The 23,012-nt window shown below is 38.3% G+C and overlaps 1 protein-coding gene across 2 annotated transcripts in view; it reads left to right on the forward strand.

Annotated features, from left to right (window-relative positions):
* The window catches only part of RNF128 (ring finger protein 128), a 103,179-nt gene that overhangs the window by 57,792 nt on the left and 22,375 nt on the right, over positions 1 to 23,012 (forward strand). For both annotated transcript variants that reach the window (NM_024539.3, NM_194463.2), the window contains exon 2: positions 21,284 to 21,531. In NM_024539.3, coding sequence (NP_078815.3) covers positions 21,284 to 21,531 — 248 coding nt within the window. The remainder of the gene's footprint in view (positions 1 to 21,283; positions 21,532 to 23,012) is intronic.

Below are 23,012 nucleotides of genomic sequence, written 5' to 3' on the forward strand. Positions count from 1 at the left end.
AGGAGAGGAAAGATTAAAGTGGACTTTGTCTTAACATTTGGATACCAGCTCAGCCACAGTAAAATAAAGCACCAAGCAGAGTCCTGAAGCCCACACTCCAGGCCCTAGATCCTGGATGACATTTCTAGACACACCCTGGGCCAGAAGGGAACCCACCAATTTGAAGGAAAGGACCCAGTTCTGGAAGGATTCATCACCTGCTGACTACAGAGCCCTTGGACCTTGAATAAACATTATTAGTAGCTAAGCAGTACTCACCATGAGCCTTGGGCAAGGCTTCAGGTGTGACCCAGCACATTCCCAGCTGTAGTGGCCAAGGGGAGAGACTCCTTTTCTCTGCTTGAGGAAAGGAGAGTGAAAAGTAAAAAGGACTTCACCTTGCAATTTGGGTACCAGTTCAGCCACAGTAAAATAAAGCACCGAATAGATTCCTAAAGTTCCTGACTCCAGACCCTACCTCCCAGACAGCATTTCTAGACCCACCCTGGGCCAGAAGGGACACCACCACCCTGAAGGGAAAGACACAAGCCTGGCTGGATTCACCACCTGCTGATTAAAGAACCCTTGGGCCTTGAACAAACAGCAATACTCACCATAAGCCTTGGGCAAAACCCAGAACTATGCTGGTTTCTGGTCTAATGCAGCTCAGTCCCAGCAGTGGTGGCCACAGGGGTGCTTGCATCACCTCTCCTCCAACTCCAGGCAGCACAGCATGGTGAGAGAGATTCCTTTTGTTTGAGAGAAAGTAAGGGAAGAGAACAACACATTCTGCCTGGTAATCCAGGGAATTCTCCTAGATATTACCCAAGACCACCAAAACAGTACCTCTACTAGTCTGCAAGAGCCACAGCGTTACTGGGCTTGGGGTGCCCCCTAATGCATATATGGCTAAAGTGACCAAAAACTTAGATCACAACACTCAATTCCCTTTGAATGCTTGAAAAGCATTCTCAAGAAGGACAGGTATAAACAAGCCCAGACTGTGAATATTATAATACCTATCTCTTCAGTGCACAAGCACCAAGAAATATCCACAAGCATCCAGATCATCCAGGATAACATTACCTCAGAAAATGAAATAAAGAAGGAACCAGTGACCAATCCCAGAGTAACAGAGGTATGTGACCTTTTAGACAGAATTCAAAATAGCTGTTCTGAGGAAGCTCAGTGAAATTCCAGATAACACAGAGAAGGAATTCAGAATTCTATCAGATAAATTGAACAAAGAGATTGAAATACTTTAAAAAAATCAAGCATAAATTCTGGAGCTGAAAAATGCAATTGATATACCGAAGAATGCATCAGAGTCTTTCAACAGCAGAACTGATCAAGCAGAAGAAAAAAGTATTGAGCTTGAAGAGGGGCTGTTTGAAAATACACAGTCAGAGGAGACAAAAAAAGAATAAAATAGAATGAAGCACACCTACAACATCTAGAAAATAGCTTCAAAAGTACAGATCTAAGAGTTATTTGCCTTAAAGAGGTGGTAGAGAGATCGAGATAGAAAGCATATTCAAAGGAATAATATTATAACACTGTAGTTGTGGTGTGTGAACTACTCATACCTTGAGTAGGAAGACTAAGAGATGAACCTATCAAAAATAATAACTGCAAGTTTTGAAGACATAGACAGTATAATAAGATATGAATAGAAACAATAAAAATGTAAAAAGCCATGGAGGGGATAAAGTTAAAGTATAGAGTTTCAATTAGTTTTCTCTTTGTTTGTTTGTTTGTTTTAGCAATCACTGTTGTCATCAGTTTGAAATAATGCAATATAAGATGTTATCTATAACATTCATGGTAGCCTCAAATCAATGAACCTAGAACAGATACACCAAAAAATAAAAAGCAAGAAATTAAAACATACCACCAGAGACAATCACCTTCACAAAAAGAAGACAGAGAGGGAACAAAGGAAGAGATCACAAAACAACCAGAAAACAAATAATAAAATGGGAAGGGAGTAAGAACTTATCAATAATAACATTGAATTTAAATAGAATAAACTTTTCAATCAAAAAACATAGAATGGCTGAATGCATTAAAAAGCCCCAACTAGCTGCCATCCTTAAGAAACACACTTCACCTATAAGGACACACATAGACTGAATATAAAAGGATGGAAAAAGATATTCCATGCAAATAGAAAACAACAAAGAGGAGTAGCTATACTTATATCACACAATATAGATTTCAAGACAAAAACTATAAAAAGAGATAAAGAAGGTCATTATATAATGATAAGAGGATCAATTCAGCAAGAAGATAGAACAAGTGTATATATGCACCCAAAGCTGGAGCACCCAGGTGTATAAAGCAAATATTATACAAACTAGAAGGTGGGATATAGACCCTGATATAATAATAGCTGGAGACTTCAACACCCTACTTTCAGCATTGGACAGATCATCCGGACAGAAAATCCACAAAGAAATATCACACTTAATGTGCAGTAGAGAACAAATGGACCTAATAGATATTTACAGAACATTTCATCCAACAGCTACAGAAGACACAATTGTCTCTTTGGCACGTGGATCATTCTCAAGGATAAACCATATGTTAAGTCATAAAACAAATAATTTTTTTCTTTTTTCTTTTTTTTCAGACAAGTTCTCACTCTGTTGCCCAGGCTGGAGTGTAGTGGCATGATTTCGGCTCACTGCAGCCTAAACCTACCAGACTTGAAGGGAACCTTCCACCTCAGCCTTCCAAGTAGCTGGGACTACAGTGGGACTACAGGCACATGCCACCACACCTGGCAATGTTTTCTTTCTCTTTTTTTTTTTTTTTTTTTTTTTTTTTTTTTGTAGCGACAGGGTCTCACCATATTGCCCAAGCTGTTCTCAAACTCCTTGGCTCAAATGATCTGCCACCTTGGCCTCCCAAAGTGCTGGGATTACAGGTGTGAGCCAGCATGCCCAGCCAAAATTTTTTTTAAATTGAAATATCAAGCATCTTCTCTAACCACAATGGAATAAAACTAAGTCAATAATAACAGAAACTTTGGAAACTATACAAATACATGGAGATAAACAGTATGCTCCTGAATGACCAGTGGGTTAATGTAGAAATTAAGAAGAAAATTTTAAAATTTCTTGAAACAAGTGGAAATGAAAACAAAATGTAACAAAACCTATGAGATATAGCAAAAACAGTACTAATAGGAAAGTTTATAAAAATGAGTGCCTACATCAAAAATGTAGAAAACCTTCAAATTAACAACCTAATAATAGAACTAGAAAAGCAAGAGCAAACCAAATGGAAAATTAGTAGAAGAAAAGAATTAATAAAGATCAGAGCAGAAATAAATTGAAATAAAAAAACACAAAACATCAATGACATGAAAAGTTGTTTTCTTTAAAAAATAAATAAAATCAACAAACCTTTAGCCAGAATAAAGAAAAAGAGAAAACCCAAATAGATAAAGATGAAAAATGGGACATACAACCAATACCACAGAAATTCAAAGAATCCCTGGAGACTACTGGGAGCAGCTATACGCCAATAAATTGGAAAACGTTGAAGAAATGGATAAATTCCTAGACACACAGAACCTTCCATGATTGGATCAGGAAGAAAACCAAAACCTGAATAGACCAATAACAAGTAATGAGAAGAAAGCCATGACAAATAGTCCCCCAGTAAAGAAAAACCTGGAACCCAATGACTTCACTGCTGATTTTTGCCAAACGTTTAAAGAAGAACTAATGCCAACCCTACTGAAACTATTCTGAAAAAACGGAGCAGGAAGAAATACTTCCAGACTCATTCTATGAGGCCAGTATTACCCTGATACCAAAACCAGACAAAGACATATCGAAAAAAAAAAGGAAACTACTACAGGCAAGTCTCTCTGATGAACATCAATGCAAAACCTCAACCAAATATTAACAAACCAAATTCAGCAACACATTAATAGGGTAATTGATCATGATCAAGTGGGATTTATCCTAGGGATGCAAGGATAGTTATACATAAATCAATCAATGTCCTACATCCTATCAACACAATGAAGGACAGAAAGCATATAATTCCAATTGATGCTGAAAATCATTTGATAAAGTTCAACATCCTTTCACGATTAAAAACCCTAAAAAAGGGCAATTAGGCAGGAGAAGGAAATAAAGGGTATTCAATTAGGAAAAGAGGAAGTCAAATTGTCCCTGTTTGCAGATGACATGATTGTATATCTAGAAAACCCCATTGTCTCAGCCCAAAATCTCCTTAAGCTGATAAGCAACTTCAGCAAAGTCTCAGGATACAAAATCAATGTGCAAAAATCACAAGCATTCTTAATACACCAACAACAGACAAACAGAGAGCCAAATCATGAGTGAACTCCCATTCACAATTGCTTCAAAGAGAATAAAATACCTAGGAATCCAACTTACAAGGGATGTGAAGGACCTCTTCAAGGAGAACTACAAACCACTGCTCAAAGAAATAAAAGAGGATACAAACAAATGGAAGAACATTCCATACTCATGGGTAGGAAGAATCAATATCTTGAAAATGGCCATACTGCCCAAGGTAATTTACAGATTCAATGCCATCCCCATCAAGCTACCAATGCCTTTCTTCACAGAATTGGAAAAAACTACTTTAAAGTTCATATGGAATCAAAAAAGAGCCCGCATCACCAAGTCAATCCTAAACCAAAAGAACAAAGCGGGAGGCATCACACTACCTGACTTCAAACTATACTACAAGGCTACAGTAACCAAAACAGCATGGTACTGGTACCAAAACAGAGATATAGATCAATGGAACAGAACAGAGCCCTCAGAAATAATGCTGCATACCTACAACTATCTGATCTTTGACAAACCTGACAAAAACAAGCAATGGGGAAAGGATTCCCTATTTAATAAATGGTGCTGGGAAAACTGGCTAGCCATATGTAGAAAGCTGAAACCGGATCCCTTCCTTACACCTTATACAAAAATCAATTCAAGATGGATTAAAGATTTAAACGTTAGACCTAAAACCATAAAAACCCTAGAAGAAAACCTAGGCATTACCATTCAGGACATAGGCATGGGAAAGGACTTCATGTCCAAAACACCAAAAGCAATGGCAACAAAAGAAAAAATTGACAAATGGGATCTAATTAAAATAAAGAGCTTCTGCACAGCAAAAGAAACTACCATCAGAGTGAACAGGCAACCTACAAAATGGGAGAAAATTTTCGCAACCTACTCATCTGACAAAGGGCTAATATCCAGAATCTACAATGAACTCAAACAAATTTACAAGAAAAAAACAACCCCATCAAAAAGTGGGCGAAGGACATGAACAGACACTTCTCAAAAGAAGACATTTATGCAGCCAAAAAACACATGAAAAAATGCTCATCATCACTGGCCATCAGAGAAATGCAAATCAAAACCACTATGAGATACCATCTCACACCAGTTAGAATGGCAATCATTAAAAAGTCAGGAAACAACAGGTGCTGGAGAGGATGTGGAGAAACAGGAACACTTTTACACTGTTGGTGGGACTGTAAACTAGTTCAACCATTGTGGAAGTCAGTGTGGCGATTCCTCAGGGATCTAGAACTAGAAATACCATTTGACCCAGCCATCCCATTACTGGGTATATACCCAAAGGACTATAAATCATGCTGCTATAAAGACACATGCACACGTATGTTTATTGTGGCATTATTCACAATAGCAAAGACTTGGAACCACCCCAAATGTCCAACAATGATAGACTGGATTAAGAAAATGTGGCACATATACACCATGGAATACTATGCAGCCATAAAAAATGATGAGTTCACGTCCTTTGTAGGGACATGGATGAAATTGGAAATCATCATTCTCAGTAAACTATCGCAAGAACAAAAAACCAAACACCGCATATTCTCACTCATAGGTGGGAATTGAACAATGAGATCACATGGACACAGGAAGGGGAATATCACACTCTAGGGACTGTGGTGGGGTGGGGGGAGGGGGGAGGGATAGCATTGGGAGATATACCTAATGCTAGATGACGAGTTAGTGGGTGCAGCGCACCAGCACGGCACATGTATACATATGTAACTAACCTGCACAATGTGCACATGTACCCTAAAACTTAAAGTATAATAAAAAAATAAATTTAAAAAAAACCCTAAAAAATCTGTGTATGCAAGGAACATACCTCATTGCAATAAAAGCTATATGTGACAGATCCACAGCTCAGTATCATATTGAATAGGGAAAAACTGAAAGCCTTTCCTTTAATACCTGGAACAGGACAGATATATCCACTTTTACCACTGTTATGCAACGTAGTACTGGAGGTCCTAGCTAGAGACATCAGACAAGAGAAAGAAGGGCAACAAAATTGGAAAGGAAAAAGTCAAATTATCCTTGTTTGCAGATAATATGATCTTATAGTTTGAAAAACCTAAAGGCCCCACAACAAACTATTAGAACTGATAAATTCAGTAAAGCTGCAGAATGCAAAATCAACATATATAAATCAGTAGTATTTCTAGATGCCAATGGCACACAATCTGAAAAAGAAATCAAGTAAGTATTCCCATTTACAATAACAACAAATAAAATAAAGTACTAGGAGGAAACCTAACCAAAGAAGAGAGCTCTACAATGAAAACTGTAAAACAATGATATAAGAAATTGAAGATGGCACAAAAAGATGGAAAGATATTCCATGTTCATGGATTGGAAGTTTCAATTTTATTAAAAGGTTCATACTACCCAATGCAATCTACAGATTTAATGCAATCCCTATTAAGATATAATACCAATGACATCATTCACATAAATAGAAAAAATAATTATAGAATTTATATGAAACCACAGAAGACCCAGAATAGCCAAAGCCATCCTGAGCAAAAAGAACAAAACTAGAGGAAACATATTACCTGACTTTAAATTATACTACACAGTTATAGTAACCAAAGAAGCATGGTACTGGCATAAATACAGACATATAGACCAAAGAAAAATAATAGAGAATTCAGAAATAAATCTATACATTCACAGTGAGCTTATTTTCAACAAAGTGCCAAGAACATACATTGGGGAAAAGATAGGCTCTCCGATTAATGCTGCTGGCAAAACTGCATATCCATGTGCAGAAGAATGAAACTAGACCCGTATCTCCTGCCATATACAAAAATCAAATCAAAATGGAATGAAGACTTAAATCTAAGACCTCAAAATATGAAACTACTAAAAGAAAACACTGGGGAAACTCTCCAGGACATTGGACTGAGCACAGATTACCTGAGCAATACCCCACCACAAGTACAGGTAACCAAAGCAAACATGAAGAAAGGAGATCACATCAAGCTAAAAAGCTTCTACCAGCAAAGAAAACAATCAGCAAGTAGAAGAGACTACCCATAGAATGGGAGAAAATATTTGCAAACTATTCATCTGACAAGGGATTAATAACCAGAATACTTAAGGAGCTGAAATCACTAAATAGGAAAATATCTAATAATCCGATTAAAAATGGACAAAAGATCTGAATAGACATTTCTCAAAAGAAGACATACAAAAGGCAAACAGGTATATGAAAAGATGCTCAACATAATTGATCATCAGAAATGCAAATAAAAACTACAATGAGATATTATCTCATCCCAGTTAAAATGGCTTTTATTCAAAAGTCAGGCAATAATGAATGCTGGCGAGGATGTAGAGGAAAGGGAACCCTTGTACACTGTTGGTTGGAATGTAAATTACTACAGCCACTATGTAGAACAATATGGAGGTTCCTCAGAAAACTAAAAATAGAATTACCGTATAATCCAGCAATCCCACTGCTAGGTATATACCCAAAAGAAAGGAAATCAGGATATCAAAGAGATGTCTACACCCCCGTGTTTATTGCAGCACTATTCTACAATAACCATGATTTGGAAGCAACCTAAGTGTCCATCAAGAGACAAATGGATAAAGAAAATGTGGTACTTACACACAATGGAGTACTATTCAGCCATAAAGAAAAATGAGTTCCTGTCATTTGCAACAACACATATGGAACTGGAGAATTATTATGTTAAGTGAAATAAGCCAGGCACAGAAAGACAAACTTTGCATGTTTTCCACTCATTTATGAGAGCTAAAATTTTAAACAGTTGGAGATAGATATCAGAAGGATGGTTACCAGAGGCTGGGAAGGGTAGAGGTGGGTAGAAAGAAATTGGGGATTATTACTGGGCACAAAAATATAGTTAGATAGAATGAGTAAGACCTAGCATTTTATAGCACAAAAGGGTGACTGTAGTCAACAATAACTTAATGTACATTTTAAAATAACTAAAAGCATAACTGGAATGTTTGTAACACAAAGAAAATAAAAATGCTTGAAGTGATGGATACCCCATTTACCCTGATGTGATTATTACAGATTGTATGTCTGTATCAAAATATCTCATGTAACCTAGAAATATATACACCTGACATGCACCCATAAAAACTAAAAATTTTATAAAAAGAATAAAAAATTTAGGAAAATATAGATTACTTTTTCGAGTGTTCATTCAAAATTGTTAAAACTAAGTATTTGTGTAAAACCTTTTGTTACCTATAAATTTTACTTTTATGGAACATCTAATTCCTAAAAATAGCAGATAAAGGCATTACTGTCATTAAGAGACTGTTAACTCAAACAATTAAATAGCAAAACAACAAATAATCTGATTTTACAATGGGCAAAAGACCTGAATAGACAGTTCTCAAAAGAAGCATACAAATAGCCAACAGTTACATGAAAAAATATTCAACGTCACCAATCATCAGGAAAATGCAAATCAAAACTGCAATGTGATATCACTTCACTCCAGTTAGGATGGCTATTATAAAAGAGACAAAAAACAAACAAATACTGGCAAGGATGTGGAGAAAAGGGAACTCTTATATACTTACTGTTGGTGGGAATGTAAATTAGTCCAGCCATATTGGAAAACAGTATGGAGAGTTTTTAAAAATGTTAGAAATACAATTACCATATAATCTGGCAATTCAATTACTGGGTATCTATCCAAAGGAATGGAAGTCAGTTTGTCCAAGAGATATCTGCCCTCCCATGTTTATTTTAGCACTATTCACAACAGCAAAGATATGGAATCAAGCTAAGTATCCATCAATGGATGAATGGATATAGAAAAAGTCACACGTGTATACAATGGAATACTATTCAGCATTTAAAAAGCAGCAAATCGTGTCATTTGCAGCAGTGTGGATGAACCTGGAGGAAATTAAGTGCCAAAAGCAATTGCAACAAAAGCAAAAACAAAAACAAAAGTTGGCAAATGCAACCTAATTAAATTAAAAAGCTTTTGCATAGCAAAAGAAACTATCAACAGAGTAAACAGACAACCTACAGAATGGGAGAAAATATTTGCAAACTATGCATCCAACAAAGGTCTGATATCCGAAATCTTTAAGGAACTTAAATTAACAAGCAAAAATCCAACAACCCCATTAAAAACTGGACAAAGAACATGAATAGACACTTTTCAAAAGAAGACATACATGCAGCCAACAAATGAAACATATGAAAAATTACTGAACATCACTAATCAGATTACTAGAGAAATACCAATCCAAATCACAATGCAATACCATCTCCCACCAGTCAGTATGGCTATTATTAAAAAGTCAAAAAATAACAGATGTTAACAAGGTTTTAGAGAAAAGGGAGCGCTTATACACTGCTCGTGGGAATGTAAATTAGTTCAGCCATTGTGGAAAGCAGTTTGCTGATTTCTCAAAAAACTCAAAGCAGAATTGCAATTTGACACAGCAATCCCATTATTGGGTATATACCCAAAGGAATATAAATCATTCTACCATAAAGACACATGCACATGTATGTTCATCACAGCACTATTTACAATAGCAAAGTCATGGAATCCACCTAAATGCCCATCAATGGTGGACTGAATAAAGAAAATGTGGTGCAAATACACCATGGAATATTATACAGCCATAAAAAAAGAATGAGATCATGTATGATCTCATGAGTACTCAGATACAGCCACATAGGACTATTGTCATTCACTTTTCTTAACTGTTCATTCTGATCTTTCTGCCTAAAATACCCATATTTGCTCTGACACTCCCTGTCCTCTGCTTATCTATGTATTACTTAAGTCCCAGCTCAAATGATGCTTCTATACAGGTTCCCCAAGCTCCAAGTGAGAGAATAAATGTTTCCTCTTTGGTCCCCTGTCACTTGGTTTCTAACCTCTATCTAGTATTTCATTTTACTTTGCATCTCAATTGGCATGCCTCTCTAAATTAAGAACTTTTTTATTTTGGGCAGACACTGTCTTTTTTTTTTTAAAGACCCTTAATTTAAAAATTTATAATTGACACATAATTGTATATATTTATGGGGTACAATGTGATTGTAAATGTAAGTATACTATGTAGTATAATGATCAAATGGGGGCAATTACCATATCCATCACATGGAACATTTTTCATTTGTTTGTGGTAACATCATTCAAAATCTTTTCTTCTAGTTATCTTAAAACATACACTACATTGCTGTTTGCTATAGTCACCCTACTGTGTAAAAAAACACCAAACTTATTCTTCCTGCCTAACTGTAAGTTTGTACACATTGGCCAACCTCTCTCCATCCTTCCCTACCCTGTACCCTCCCCAGCCCCTGGTAATCACTATTCCATTCTCCACTTTTGATTTTTTTTTTTTTTTGAGATGGAGTTTTGCTCTTGTTGCCCAGGCTGGAGTGCAGTGGCACCATCTCAGCTCACCACAACCTCTGCCTCGGGTTCAAGCGATTCTCCTGCCTCAGCCTCCCGAGTAGCTGGGATTACAGGCATGCACTGCCACGCCTGGCTAATTTTGTACTTTTAGTAGAGACAGGGTTTTTCCATGTTGGTCAAGCTGGTCTTGAACTCCTGACCTCAGGTGATCCGCCCCCCATCGGCCTCCCAAAGTGCTGGGATTACAGGTGTGAGCCACCAAGCCCAGTCTTGAAATTTTTTAAACTTTTATTTTAGGCTCAAGGACACATGTGTTGGTTTGTTGTATAGGCAAATTGTGTGTCACAGGGGTTTGTGTACAGATTATGTTCTTTGCAGCAACATGGATGGAGCTGGAGGCCATTATCCTGAGTGAACAAACACAGCAACAGAAAACCAAATACCACATGTTCTTATGTATAAGTGGGAGCTAAACTTTGAGTACACATGGACACAAAGAAGGGAACAACGGACACCGGGGCCTACTTGAGGGTGGAGGAAGGGAGGAGGATGAATACCTATTGGGCACTATGCTTATTACATGGATGATGAAATAATCTGTACACAAACCCCTGTGACACACAGTTTGCCTATATAACATACCAACACATGTGCAAGATCAGTTGAGATCAGATCATATATGGCTTTACATGTTAGGCTAAGGAGTCAGATTGTAATGAGTAATTAGGAGCCACTAAAGACTCCTGGGCAGAAAAAGAGGCATGATTCAACCATGTTATGGCAAAAGTCAAGCAGAAAGGTCAACTCTAATGAAACTTTAAGGGAGGGACTGGATATAGGATGACCAGCTAGGAGGTTACTGTAATAGTTTCAGTACCCTATTTCAAAGAAATTATGAGGGTCTATATTAAGACAGCAGAAATAGAAAGATCTGATAATGGAGACACCAAGAAAGTAAATAGCATCTCCATGACTGACTAGGTGAGCAGTGAGGATTCAAACATGATTCTGAGGTTACTAAACTAGGTGACCAGAGGGGTTGTTACACTGTTAACTGCAATTGAGAACAGTGGAGGGGGAGCAGTTTACAGATATTTTCAAGTGCATGGGAAGTATCAAAATGCTTAGAAATAGGTCTTTTACATGATTAGGAAGCCAATTCAGGGTTTTTTGTTTTCGTTGAGACGGAGTCTCGCTCTGTCGTCCAGGCTGGAGTGCACTGGCACGATCTTGGCTCACTGCAAGCTCCGCCTCCCGGGTTCACGCCATTCTCCTGCCTCAGCCTCCCGAGTAGCTGGGACTACAGGCGCCCGCCACCACGCCCGGCTAATTTTTTGTATTTTTAGTAGAGATGGGGTTTCACCGTGTTAGCCAGGATGGTCTCGATCTCCTGATCTCATGATCCGCCCGCCTCCTCGGCCTCCCAAAGTGCTGGAATTAAAGGCGTGGGCCACCACGCCCGGCCAATTCAGGTTTTTTAATAGTTGGACTGTATATAGCACGTATGAATATAGATTGTGAGGACTGAAGCACAGCATTGTTGCTAAGATGTATACAATGTACATTTCTTGCCTATCCTTGTTTTTTGGTTTGGTTTGGTTTGGTTTGGTTTGGTTTGGTTTTTGTTTTTGTTTTTTGAGATGGAGTCTCGCTCTGTCGCCCAGGCTGGAGTGCAGTGGCACGATATCAGCTCACTGCAAGCTCCACCTCCCGGGTTCACGCCATTCTCCTGCCTCAGCCTCCCCAGTAGCTGGGGCTACAGGTGCCCGCCACCACGCCCGACTAATTTTTTTTTGTATTTTTAGAAGAGACGGGGTTTCACCATGTTAGCCAGGATAGTCTTGATCTCCTGACCTCGTGATCCACCCACCTCAGCCTCCCAAAGTGCTGGAATTACAGGCGTGAGCCACCACGCCCGGCCTTGTTTTGTTTTTCAACCTTCATCTGACCACAATGGCCCATGTGTTCCTGAGTATCCACCCCTGCCACCTACCCCATATGTTCTAAAAGAACAAAACATTTCTATTAGTTAAAAACTTATGGCCAGGTGCAGTGGCTGACGCCTCTAATCCCTGCACTTTGGGAGGCCAAGGTGGGTGGATCACCTGAGGTTAGGGGTTTGAAACCAGCCTGGCCAACATGGTGAAACCCCGTCTCTACTAAAAACACAAAAATTAGCTGGGTGTGGTGGCATGCACCTGTAATGCCAGCTACTCGGGAGGCTGAAGCAGGAGAATCACTTGAACCCAGGAGGCAGAGGTTGCAGTGAGCCAAGATTGCACCACTGCACTCCACTCTGGGTAAGGAGCGAAACTCCGTCTCAAAAAAAACAAAACAACAACAACAACAACAAAAACCAACTTATTAGCAGTACACATCTGTGATTCAAAAGAAATATTTAAAAATATATTCCAAAGCCTAACTTTTAGAATTCTCTATGCTTTCAAAGATTATACAGTTTATAATATCGGAAATGAATGCTACATTATATAATTAATCACAACTTTATTACTATACATTTTCCTGAGAGATGGCTCTTAGAGAAAAGACAAATAATGTCTGTGATTTTAGTGCCATAGCTAAAAATTTAAAGCCCCTAAATAAATAGAAAAAAAGGGCCACTGTTTGGTAAAATTATCTCCAGATCCATAAGGGATATTTGGGTCATATACTGATATTGGAAGAAAATATAACAGAGGGTCTCTACATTTCAGACTCCTTCACTCCCCATTGTTTTTGAGATTTTCCTTTTGTAAATGAGAACAAGGTGAGTCATTAATCTCTATCAAACTGAATGATCACACATGACTCAGTAGAGTTTTAAAAAGGGCTTAACTAAATGGCTATCATGTAAAAATAGTGTCTTTTGGAATGTTAAGGATCTATAATAAAATGCTTTGAATAAAATGTTTAAATTAATAACTTCAAATAAAGAGAGAATCTTAGCATACTATGAGATATTTCTTTTTGGCCCCATCTTTTGAAAACTTTGGCTACTGAGGACCATAAATTTAAGGGATTGCTTGATTAACAATTTTACTGTGTACATTGCCATTTAAGGTTTATACCCTTAATTTGAAAATTAAAACTGTGAATACTATTTTAATATTTTACTGAGAAATGGCTTTTAGAGAAAAGACAAATAATGTCTGTGATTTTAGTGCCATAGCTAAAAACTTAATGTCCCCAAATAAATAGAAAAAAGGGGCACTCTCTGGCAAAATTACCTCCAGACCCATAAGGGATATTTGGATAATACACTCATATTGGAAGAAGATACAACAGAGGGTGTCTACATTTCAGACATTCAGTATTTTTGTATTTAAATTCTAGTCTAAAAGTCCTTTCATTTTATTTTTATTTTATATTTTGTTGGTTTTTTTATTATTATACTTTAAGTTCTAGGCTACATGTGCACAACATGCAGGTTTGTCACATATGTTTACATGTGCCATGTTGGTGTGCTGCACCCATTAACTAACTCGTCATTTATATTAGGTTTATCTCCTAATGCTATCCCCCCCAGCCCCCCACCCCACGACAGGCTCCAGTGTGTGATGTTCCCCACCCTGTGTCCAAGTGTTCTCATTGTTCAATTCCCACCTATGAGTGAGAACATGCGGTGTTTGGTTTTCTGTCTTGGTGATAGTTTGCTCAGAATGATGGTTTCTAGCTTCATCCATGTCCCTACAAAGACATGAACTCATCTTTTTATGGCTGCATAGTATTCCATGGTATATATGTGCCAAATTTTCTTAATCCAGTCTATTATTGAAGGACATTTGGGTTGGTTCCAAGTCTATGCTATTGTGAATAGTGCCGAAATAAACATACGTGTGCATGTGTCTTTATAGCAGCATGATTTATAATCCTTTGGGTATATGCCCAGTAATGGGATGGCTAGATCAAATGGTATTTCTAGTTCTAGATCCTTGAGGAATCGCCACACTGTCTTCCACAATGGTTGAACTAGTTTACACTCCCACCAACAGTTAAAGGAGTTCCTATTTCTCCACATCCTCTCCAGTACCTGTTGTTTCCTGACTTTTTAATGATCACCATTCTAAGTCGTGTGAGATGGTATCTCATTGTAGTTTGGTTTGCATTTCTCTGATGGTCAGTGATGATGAACATTTTTTCATGTGTCTTTTGGCTGCATAAATGTCTTCTTTTGAGAAGTGTCTGTTCATATCCTTTGCCCACTTTTTGATAGGGTTGTTTGATTTTTTCTTGTAAATTTGTTCAAGTTCATTGTAGATTCTGGATATTAGCCCTTTGTCAGATGGGTAAATTGTAAAACTTTTCTCCCATTCTGTAGGTTGCCTGTTCACTCTGACGGTAGTTTCTTTTGCTGTGCAGAAGCTCTTTAGTTTAATTAGATCCCATTTGTCAATTTTGGCTTTTGTTGCCATTGCTTTTGGTGTTTTGGTCATGAAGTCCTTGCCCATGCCTATGGCCTGAATGGTATTTGCCTAGGTTTTCTTCTAGGATTTTTATGGTTTTAGGTCTAATATTTAGGTCTTTAATCCATCTTGAGTTAATTTTTGTATAAGGTGTAAGGAAGGGATCCAGTTTCAGCTTTCTATATATGGCTAGCCAGTTTTCCCAGCACCATTTATTAAATAGGGAATCCTTTCCCCATTTCTTGTTTTTGTCAGGTTTGTCAAAGATCGGATGGTTGTAGATGTGTGGTATTATTTCTGAGGGCTCTATTCTGTTCCATTGATCTATATCTCTGTTTTGGTACCAGTACCATGCTATTTTGGTTACTGTAGCCTTGTAGTATAGTTTGAAGTCAGGTAGGGTGATGCCTCCAGCTTTGTTCTTTTGACTTAGGATTGTCTTGGCGATGCGGGCTCTTTGGGTTCCATATGAACTTTAAAGTAGTTTTTTCCAATTCTATGAAGAAAGTCATTGGCAGCTTGATGGGGATGGCATTGAATCTATAAATTACCTTGGGCAGAATGGCCATTTTCACAATATTGATTCTTCCTATCCATGAACACGGAATGTTCTTCCATTTGTTTGTGTCCTCTTTTATTTCGTTGAGCAGTGGTTTGTAGTTCTCCTTGAGGAGGTCCTTCACATCCTTTTTAAGTTAGATTCCTAGGTATTTTATTCTCTTTGAAGCAATTGTGAATGGGAGTTCGCTCGTGATTTGGCTTTCTGTTTGTCTGTTATTGGTGTATAAGAATGCTTGTGATTTTTGCACATTGATTTTGTATCCTGAGACTTTGCTGAAGTTGCTTATCAGCCTGAGGAGAATTTGGGCTGAGACGATGGGGTTTTCTAGATATATAATCATGTCATCTGCAAATAGGGACAATTTGACTTCCTCTTTTCCTAATTGAATACTCTTTATTTCCTTCTCTTGCCTGATTGCCCTGGCTAGAACTTCCAACACTATGTTGAATAGGAGTGGTGAGAAAGGGCATCCCTGTCTTGTGCCAGTTTTCAAAGGGAATGCTTCCAGTTTTTGCCCATTCTGTATAATATTGGCTGTGGGTTTGTCATAGATAGCTCTTATTATTTTGAGATACGTCCCATCAATACCTAGTTTATTGAGAGTTTTTAGCATGAAGCGCTGTTGAATTTTGTCAAAGGCCTTTTCTGCATCTACTGAGATAATCATGTGGTTTTTATCTTTGGTTCTGTTTATATGATGGATTACATTTATTGATTTGCTTATGTTGAACCAGCCTTGCATCCCAGGGATGAAGCCAACTTGATTGTGGTGGATAAGCTTTTTGATGTGCTGCTGGATTCGGCTTGCCAGTATCTTATTGAGGATTTTTGCATCATTGTTCATCAGGGATTTTCGTCTAAAATTTTCTTTTTTTATTTTCTCTCTGCCAGGCTTTGGTATCAGGATGATGCTGGCCTCATAAAATGAGTTAGGAAGGATTCCCTCTTTTTCTATTGATTGGAATAGTTTCAGAAGGAATGGTACCAGCTTCTCTTTGTACCTCTGGTAGACCTCGGCTGTGAATCCATCTGGTCCTGGACTTTTTTTGGTTGGTAGGCTATTATTTATTGCCACAATTTCAGAGGCTGTTATTGGTCTATTCAGAGATTCAACTTCTTCCTGGTTTAGTCTTGGGAGGGTGTATGTGTCGAGGAATTTATCCATTTCTTCTAGATTTTCTAGTTTATTTGCGTAGAGGGGTTTATAGTATTCTCTGATGGTAGTTTGTATTTCTGTGGGATTGGTGGTGATATCCCCTTTATCATTTTTTATTGCATCCATTTGATTCTTCTCTCTTTTCTTCTTTATTTGTCTTGCTAGTGGTCTATCAATTTTGTTGATCTTTTCAAAAAACCAGCTCCTGGATTCATTGATTTTTTGAAGGGTTTTTTGTGTCTCTATCTCCTTCTCTTCTGCTCTGATCTTAGTTATTTCTTGCCTTCTGCCAGCTTTTGAATGTGTTTGCTCTTGCCTCTCTAGTTCTTTTAATTGTGATATTAGGGTGTCAATTTTAGATCTTTCCTGCTTTCTCTTGTGGGCATTTAGTGCTGTAAATTTTCCTCTATACACTGCTTTGAATGTGTCCCAGAGATTCTGGTATGTTGTGTCTTTGTTCTCATTGGTTTCAAAGAACATCTTTATTTCTGCCTTCATTTTGTTATGTACCCATTAGTCATTCAGGAGCAGGTTGTTCAGTTTCCATGTGGTTGTGTGGTTTTGAGTGAGTTTCTTAATCCTGAGTTCTAGTTTCATTGCACTGTGATCTGAGACAGTTTGTTATAATTTCTGTTCTTTTACATTTGCTGAGGAGTGTTTTACTTCCAACTATGTCGTCCATTTTGGAATATGTGTTATGTGGTGCTGAGAAGAATGTATATTCTGTTGATTTGGGGTGGAGAGTTCTGTAGATGTCTATTAGGTCTGCTTGGTGCAGCGCTAAGTTCAGTTCCTGGATATCCTTGTTAACTTACTGTCTCGTTGATCTGTCTAATGTTGACAGTGGGGTTTTAAAGTCTCCCATTATTATTGTGTGCGTGTCTAAGTCTCTTTGTAGGTCTCTAAGGACTTGCTTTATAAATCTGGGTGCTCCTGTATTGGGTGCATATATATTTAGGATAGTCAGCTCTTCTTGTTGAATTGATCCCTTTGCCATTATGTAATGACCTTCTTTGTCTCTTTTGATCTTTGTTGGTTTAAAGTCTGTTTGATCAGAGACTAGGATTGCTACACCTGCTTTGTTTTTTTTTTTTTTTTTTGCTTTCCATTTGCTTGGTATATCTTCCTCCATCCCTTTATTTTGAGCCTATGTGTGTCTCTGCATGTGAGATGGGTCTCCTGAATACAGCACACTGATGGGTCTTGATTCTTTATCCAATTTGCCAGTCTGTGTCTTTTTCTTTTCAGTCTATGTCTTTTAATTGGAGCATTTAGCCCATTTACATTTAAAGTTAATATTATTATGTGTGAATTTGATCCTGTCATTATGATGTTAGCTGGTTATTTTGCTCGTTAGTTGATGCATTTTCTTCCTAGCATCGATGGTCTTTACAATTTCGCATGCTTTTGCAGTGGCTGGTACCAGTTGTTCCTTTCCATGTTTAGTGCTTCCTTCAGGAGCTCTTGTAAGGCAGGCCTGGTGGTGACAAAATCTCTCAGCATTTGTTTGTCTGTAAAGAATTTTATTTCTCCTTCACTTTTGAAGCTTAGTTTGGCTGGATATGAAATTGTGGGTTGAAAATTCTTTAAGAATGTTGAATATTGGCCCCGACTCTCTTCTGATTTGTAGAGTTTCTGCCGAGAGATCCGCTGTTAGTCTGATGGGCTTCCCTTTGTGGGTAACCCGACCTTTCTCTCTGGCTGCCCTTAACATTTTTTCCTTCTTTTCAACTTTGGTGAATCTGACAATTATGTGTCTTGGAGTTGCTCTTCTCAAGGAGTATCTTTGTGGCATTCTCTGTACTTCCTGAATTTGAATGTTGGCCTGCCTTGCTAGATTGGGGAAGTTCTCCTGGATAATCTCCTGAAGAGTATTTTCCGACGTGGTTCCATTCTCCCCGTCACTTTCAGGTACACCAATCAGACGTAGATTTGGTCTTTTCACATGGTCCCATATTTCTTGGAGGCTTTGTTCATTTCTTTTTACTCTTTTTTTTCCTCTAAACTTCTCTTCTTGCTTCATTTCATTCATTTGATCTTCAATCACTGATACCCTTTCTTCCACTTGATCAAATCGGCTACTGAAGCTTGTGCATGCACCACGTAGTCCTCATGCCATGGTTTTCAGCTCCATCCGGTCATTTAAGGACTTCTCTACACTGTTTATTCTAGTTAGCCATTCGTCTAATCTTTTTTCAAGGTTTTTACTTCTTTGCGATGGGTTCGAACATCCTCCTTTAGTTCAGAGAAGTTTGTTATTACCGATCATCTGAAGCCTTCTTCTCTCAACCCATCAAAGTCATTTTCCATCCAGCTTTGTTCTGTTGCTGGCGAGGAGCTGCATTCCTTTGGAGGAGAAGAGGCGCTCTGATTTTTAGAATTTTCAGCTTTTCTGCTCTGGTTTCTCCCCATTTTTGTGGTTTTATCTACCTCTGGTCTTTGATGATGGTGACGTACTGACAGGGTTTTGGTGTGGATGTCCTTTCTGTTTATTAGTTTTCCTTCTAACAGTCAGGACCCTCAGCTGCAGGTCTGTTGGAGTTTGCTGGAGGTCTACTCCAGACCCTGTTTGCCTGGGTATCACCAGCGGAGGCTGCAGAACAGCAAATATTGCAGAACAGCAGATGTGGCTGCCTGATCCTTCCTCTGGAAGCTTCGTCTCAGAGGGGCACCCCACTGTATGAGGTGTCAGTCGGCCCCTTCTGGGAAGTGTCTCCTAGTTAGGCTACTGAGGGGTCAGGGACCCACTTGAGGAGGCAGTCTGTCCGTTCTCAGATCTCAAACTCCGTGCTGGGAGAACCACTACTCTTCAAAGCTGTCAGACAGGGATGTTTAAGTCTGCAGAAGTTTCTGCTGCCTTTTGTTCACCTATGCCCTACCCCCAGAGGTGGAGTCTACAGAGTCAGGCAGGCCTCCTTGAGCTGTGGTGGGCTCCACCCAGTTTGAGCTTGCCCGCCACTTTGTTTACCTACTCAAGCCTCAGCAATGGCGTACGCCCCTCCCCCAGCCCCACTGCTGCCTTGCAGTTTGATCTCAGACTGCTGTGTTAGCAGTGAGCGAGGCTCCATGGGCATGGGACCCTCTGAGCCAGGCGCGGGTTATAATCTCCTGGTGTGCCATTTGCTAAGGCTGTTGGAAAAGTGCAGTATTAGAGTGGGAGTGTCCCGATTTTCCAGGTACGGTCTGTCACGGCTTCCCTTTGCTAGGAAAGGGAATTCCCTGACCCCTTGCACTTCCTGGGTGAGGCGATGGCCTGCCCTGCTCCGTGGGCTGTACCCACTTGTCTGGCAAGCCCCAGTGAGATGAACCCAGTACCTCAGTTGGAAATGCAGAAATCACCCGTCTTCTGCATCACTCACACTGGGAGCTACAGACTGGAGCTGTTCCTATTCGGCCATCTTGGAACCTCCTCTAAAAGTCCTTTTAGAGTTGCATGTGTGTATTTGTATTTATTCCAGATTGGAGTTGGATCATTAACCCAGATTAGCACCTTAACTTAATATCAGTGGGAGGTTTCTCTAGTTGGTTATACCTTAACATTCAATAAGTGCTCTTCTTTTGCTTAAGATTATTGGTCTCAGGTCATATAAACTAGAGGGAATATAAACCTTGATAAGCATTGGAATGGCATGAGCAATCTGACATTCTTTTAACATTGGGAAAGATAATGTTTGTACTTTATTTTTTTCCACAAAACTTATATAATTGGTGGTAGAGAGGTAAGTATTTTAGATAATTAGACCTTTAGTAATAAGATTAGTCTTAGTTTAGGCTTGTCTTTAATAGGTAGTGAATAGAAATGTGCATTTCTATATGTTATCTTCATTGCTAACCTGATCACGTCTGTGTAAAACCTTAGAACACCTTGAGCAAATTTTATATTGCTTTTGAGGATATAGAAAAATGGTACATCATGGACATATGTAGTTTGTACATTTGGGTTTGTAAACATTGTTTGGCTCAAATTACTATCCCAATATGTAAATCCTTATACATGCTAGTAGTGAGCTCTTGAGATAATTTATCATCTTATAAATTGGGAAATATTTCTGTATTCCCCAAATCTTAGATTCCTTATCATATAAGCCCTATTTTCTACAATTTGGGGGACTATTTGTCTTTAAGCAAGCCTTCATATAAGATGCAAATTGGGTCTCAAAGGCAATACTGTTGAATTATAGATAGTTAATCTGAGGAGGGGGAGGTGTTTGTTGTATATAATAGCTTCCTTACTAAGTTATGAGTTCCCTAAAATCGGTAACCAAATCTCATGCGTGTTTATATAACCTACAACTTTCATATAGATAGTAGGTGCTCAAAAATGTTAATTGAATGAATGGGTATCCTTCCTTTGTCTCATTGAGACCCATTTAAAATCATTTTAGCAATTGGGTTATTATACTAAGAATGTTTCACCAAACTAAAACTGAATTTGTTTTATTTTACAGGTGCAGTAGACATTGTTGCAATCATGATCGGCAATCTGAAAGGCACAAAAATTCTGCAATCTATTCAAAGAGGCATACAAGTGACAATGGTCATAGAAGTAGGGAAAAAACATGGCCCTTGGGTGAATCACTATTCAATTTTTTTCGTTTCTGTGTCCTTTTTTATTATTACGGCGGCAACTGTGGGCTATTTTATCTTTTATTCTGCTCGAAGGCTACGGAATGCAAGAGCTCAAAGCAGGAAGCAGGTTTGTAATGGTCCTTTCTTCCACTATTAAAAAAAATTTACTGTTCTAATTGTAGTTTCAGGGTCCTGCATTTTAATACATTGTACTTGCTAGACAATGATCTCCCCATATGTTTTACAAAATCTGGTAGTTTTTAAAAGTATGTCAGCTCTTCTCAAAGGTTTATTTTCTATATTTGTCAAAGAACTTAATCCTACCTGATTAAATTTTCTAACACCTCATTAGAGAACACATCCAGCATTTAATTACATATAGGTGTAAATACATATGTTCTTTTAAATAAACATTTTTTTCTAAATTACAAAAACATTTCATACTCAATATAGAAAACTTAGAAATTAGAAAGTACACGGGAAAAAAACTCACCTAAAACCTGATATAGCAATATAACTATAGTCATCGCCCAAAGGTAACCACTATTATTTTATATGTACGTCTGTATTTGCATGTGGGGATGGGGCTGAGAAGAGGGACTAGGCTGAGAAGGCAGGGTAGAAGATCTGATTGTGCATGATATATTGTTAGGCTTCAAGTGGAGTCAAATATTAATAGTTTCTACCATATTATAACAGTGTATAAAAAGGTACAAGGTACACAAACAACAGAGCAAAAATACCAAAGCATTACTGAACAGTAAAGTACCTATGGTTGTATGGCATTGTTCCTGCCACCATTAAATTGTCCCCCTCAGCCCCCTGATATGCTCACATTTCTCCTTACCCAGCTTAAATTCCATGGTTACTCCCATGCATACATCTTCAGTTCCCGTGGCCCTTCTTTCTCTTTGTTATAGTTGCTGGAAAAACAAATCCAACCCTGGTTAAATTTACTTCCCACCTACTCTATGTCTTCACCTTGCACAACTGAAGTATCAGAAAGGCATTTACAGCTGTACTGACTGATCTCACTTTAAATTTGTGACCGTAAAATCAGAGTGGGCCCTTAATGCTACCCAGGAATCACACTATGTTTTCTTGGCCATTTACTCTCCTACTGTTGGATAACCATATGTGTTCCTTTCCCTTTCTCCAACACCTCCTCCAACTTTACTCTCAATTTGTATTTTATTTTACTGAGAAAATTGAAGCAATCAATAATACTTCCACATCTTCTCATCTATCTTCATCTGCGTCTATCCTATTCCCCTGCTTTGTCTTCTGTTTTTATGGATGAACTGTTCCTTTGCAAAGGCTAACTCTTTCACTCAGGTATAAGATTATTTTTGTCTTTTGTATACTCAAGGACATCACTCCAGAAATTTTCCTCTCTCACTCTCCTACTTTAACAATTTCTCCCTCTCCTCCTCATCTTTTCCACCAACATGCAAACATAGTATTATTGCTCCCATTTTCAAAAGATTTTCTCTTGGCCCCAGGCCAAAAACCTTGAAGTTGTTCTTTATTCCTTTTTTTCTGTCACCTCCCATGTAAACTATCAGCAAATCCTATTATTTCTACCTTCATTATATATCCAGAATTTGA

This window comes from Homo sapiens, chromosome X (genome assembly GCF_000001405.40).
Source record: "Homo sapiens chromosome X, GRCh38.p14 Primary Assembly".
In the NCBI taxonomy this organism is placed as follows: Eukaryota; Metazoa; Chordata; class Mammalia; order Primates; family Hominidae; genus Homo; species Homo sapiens.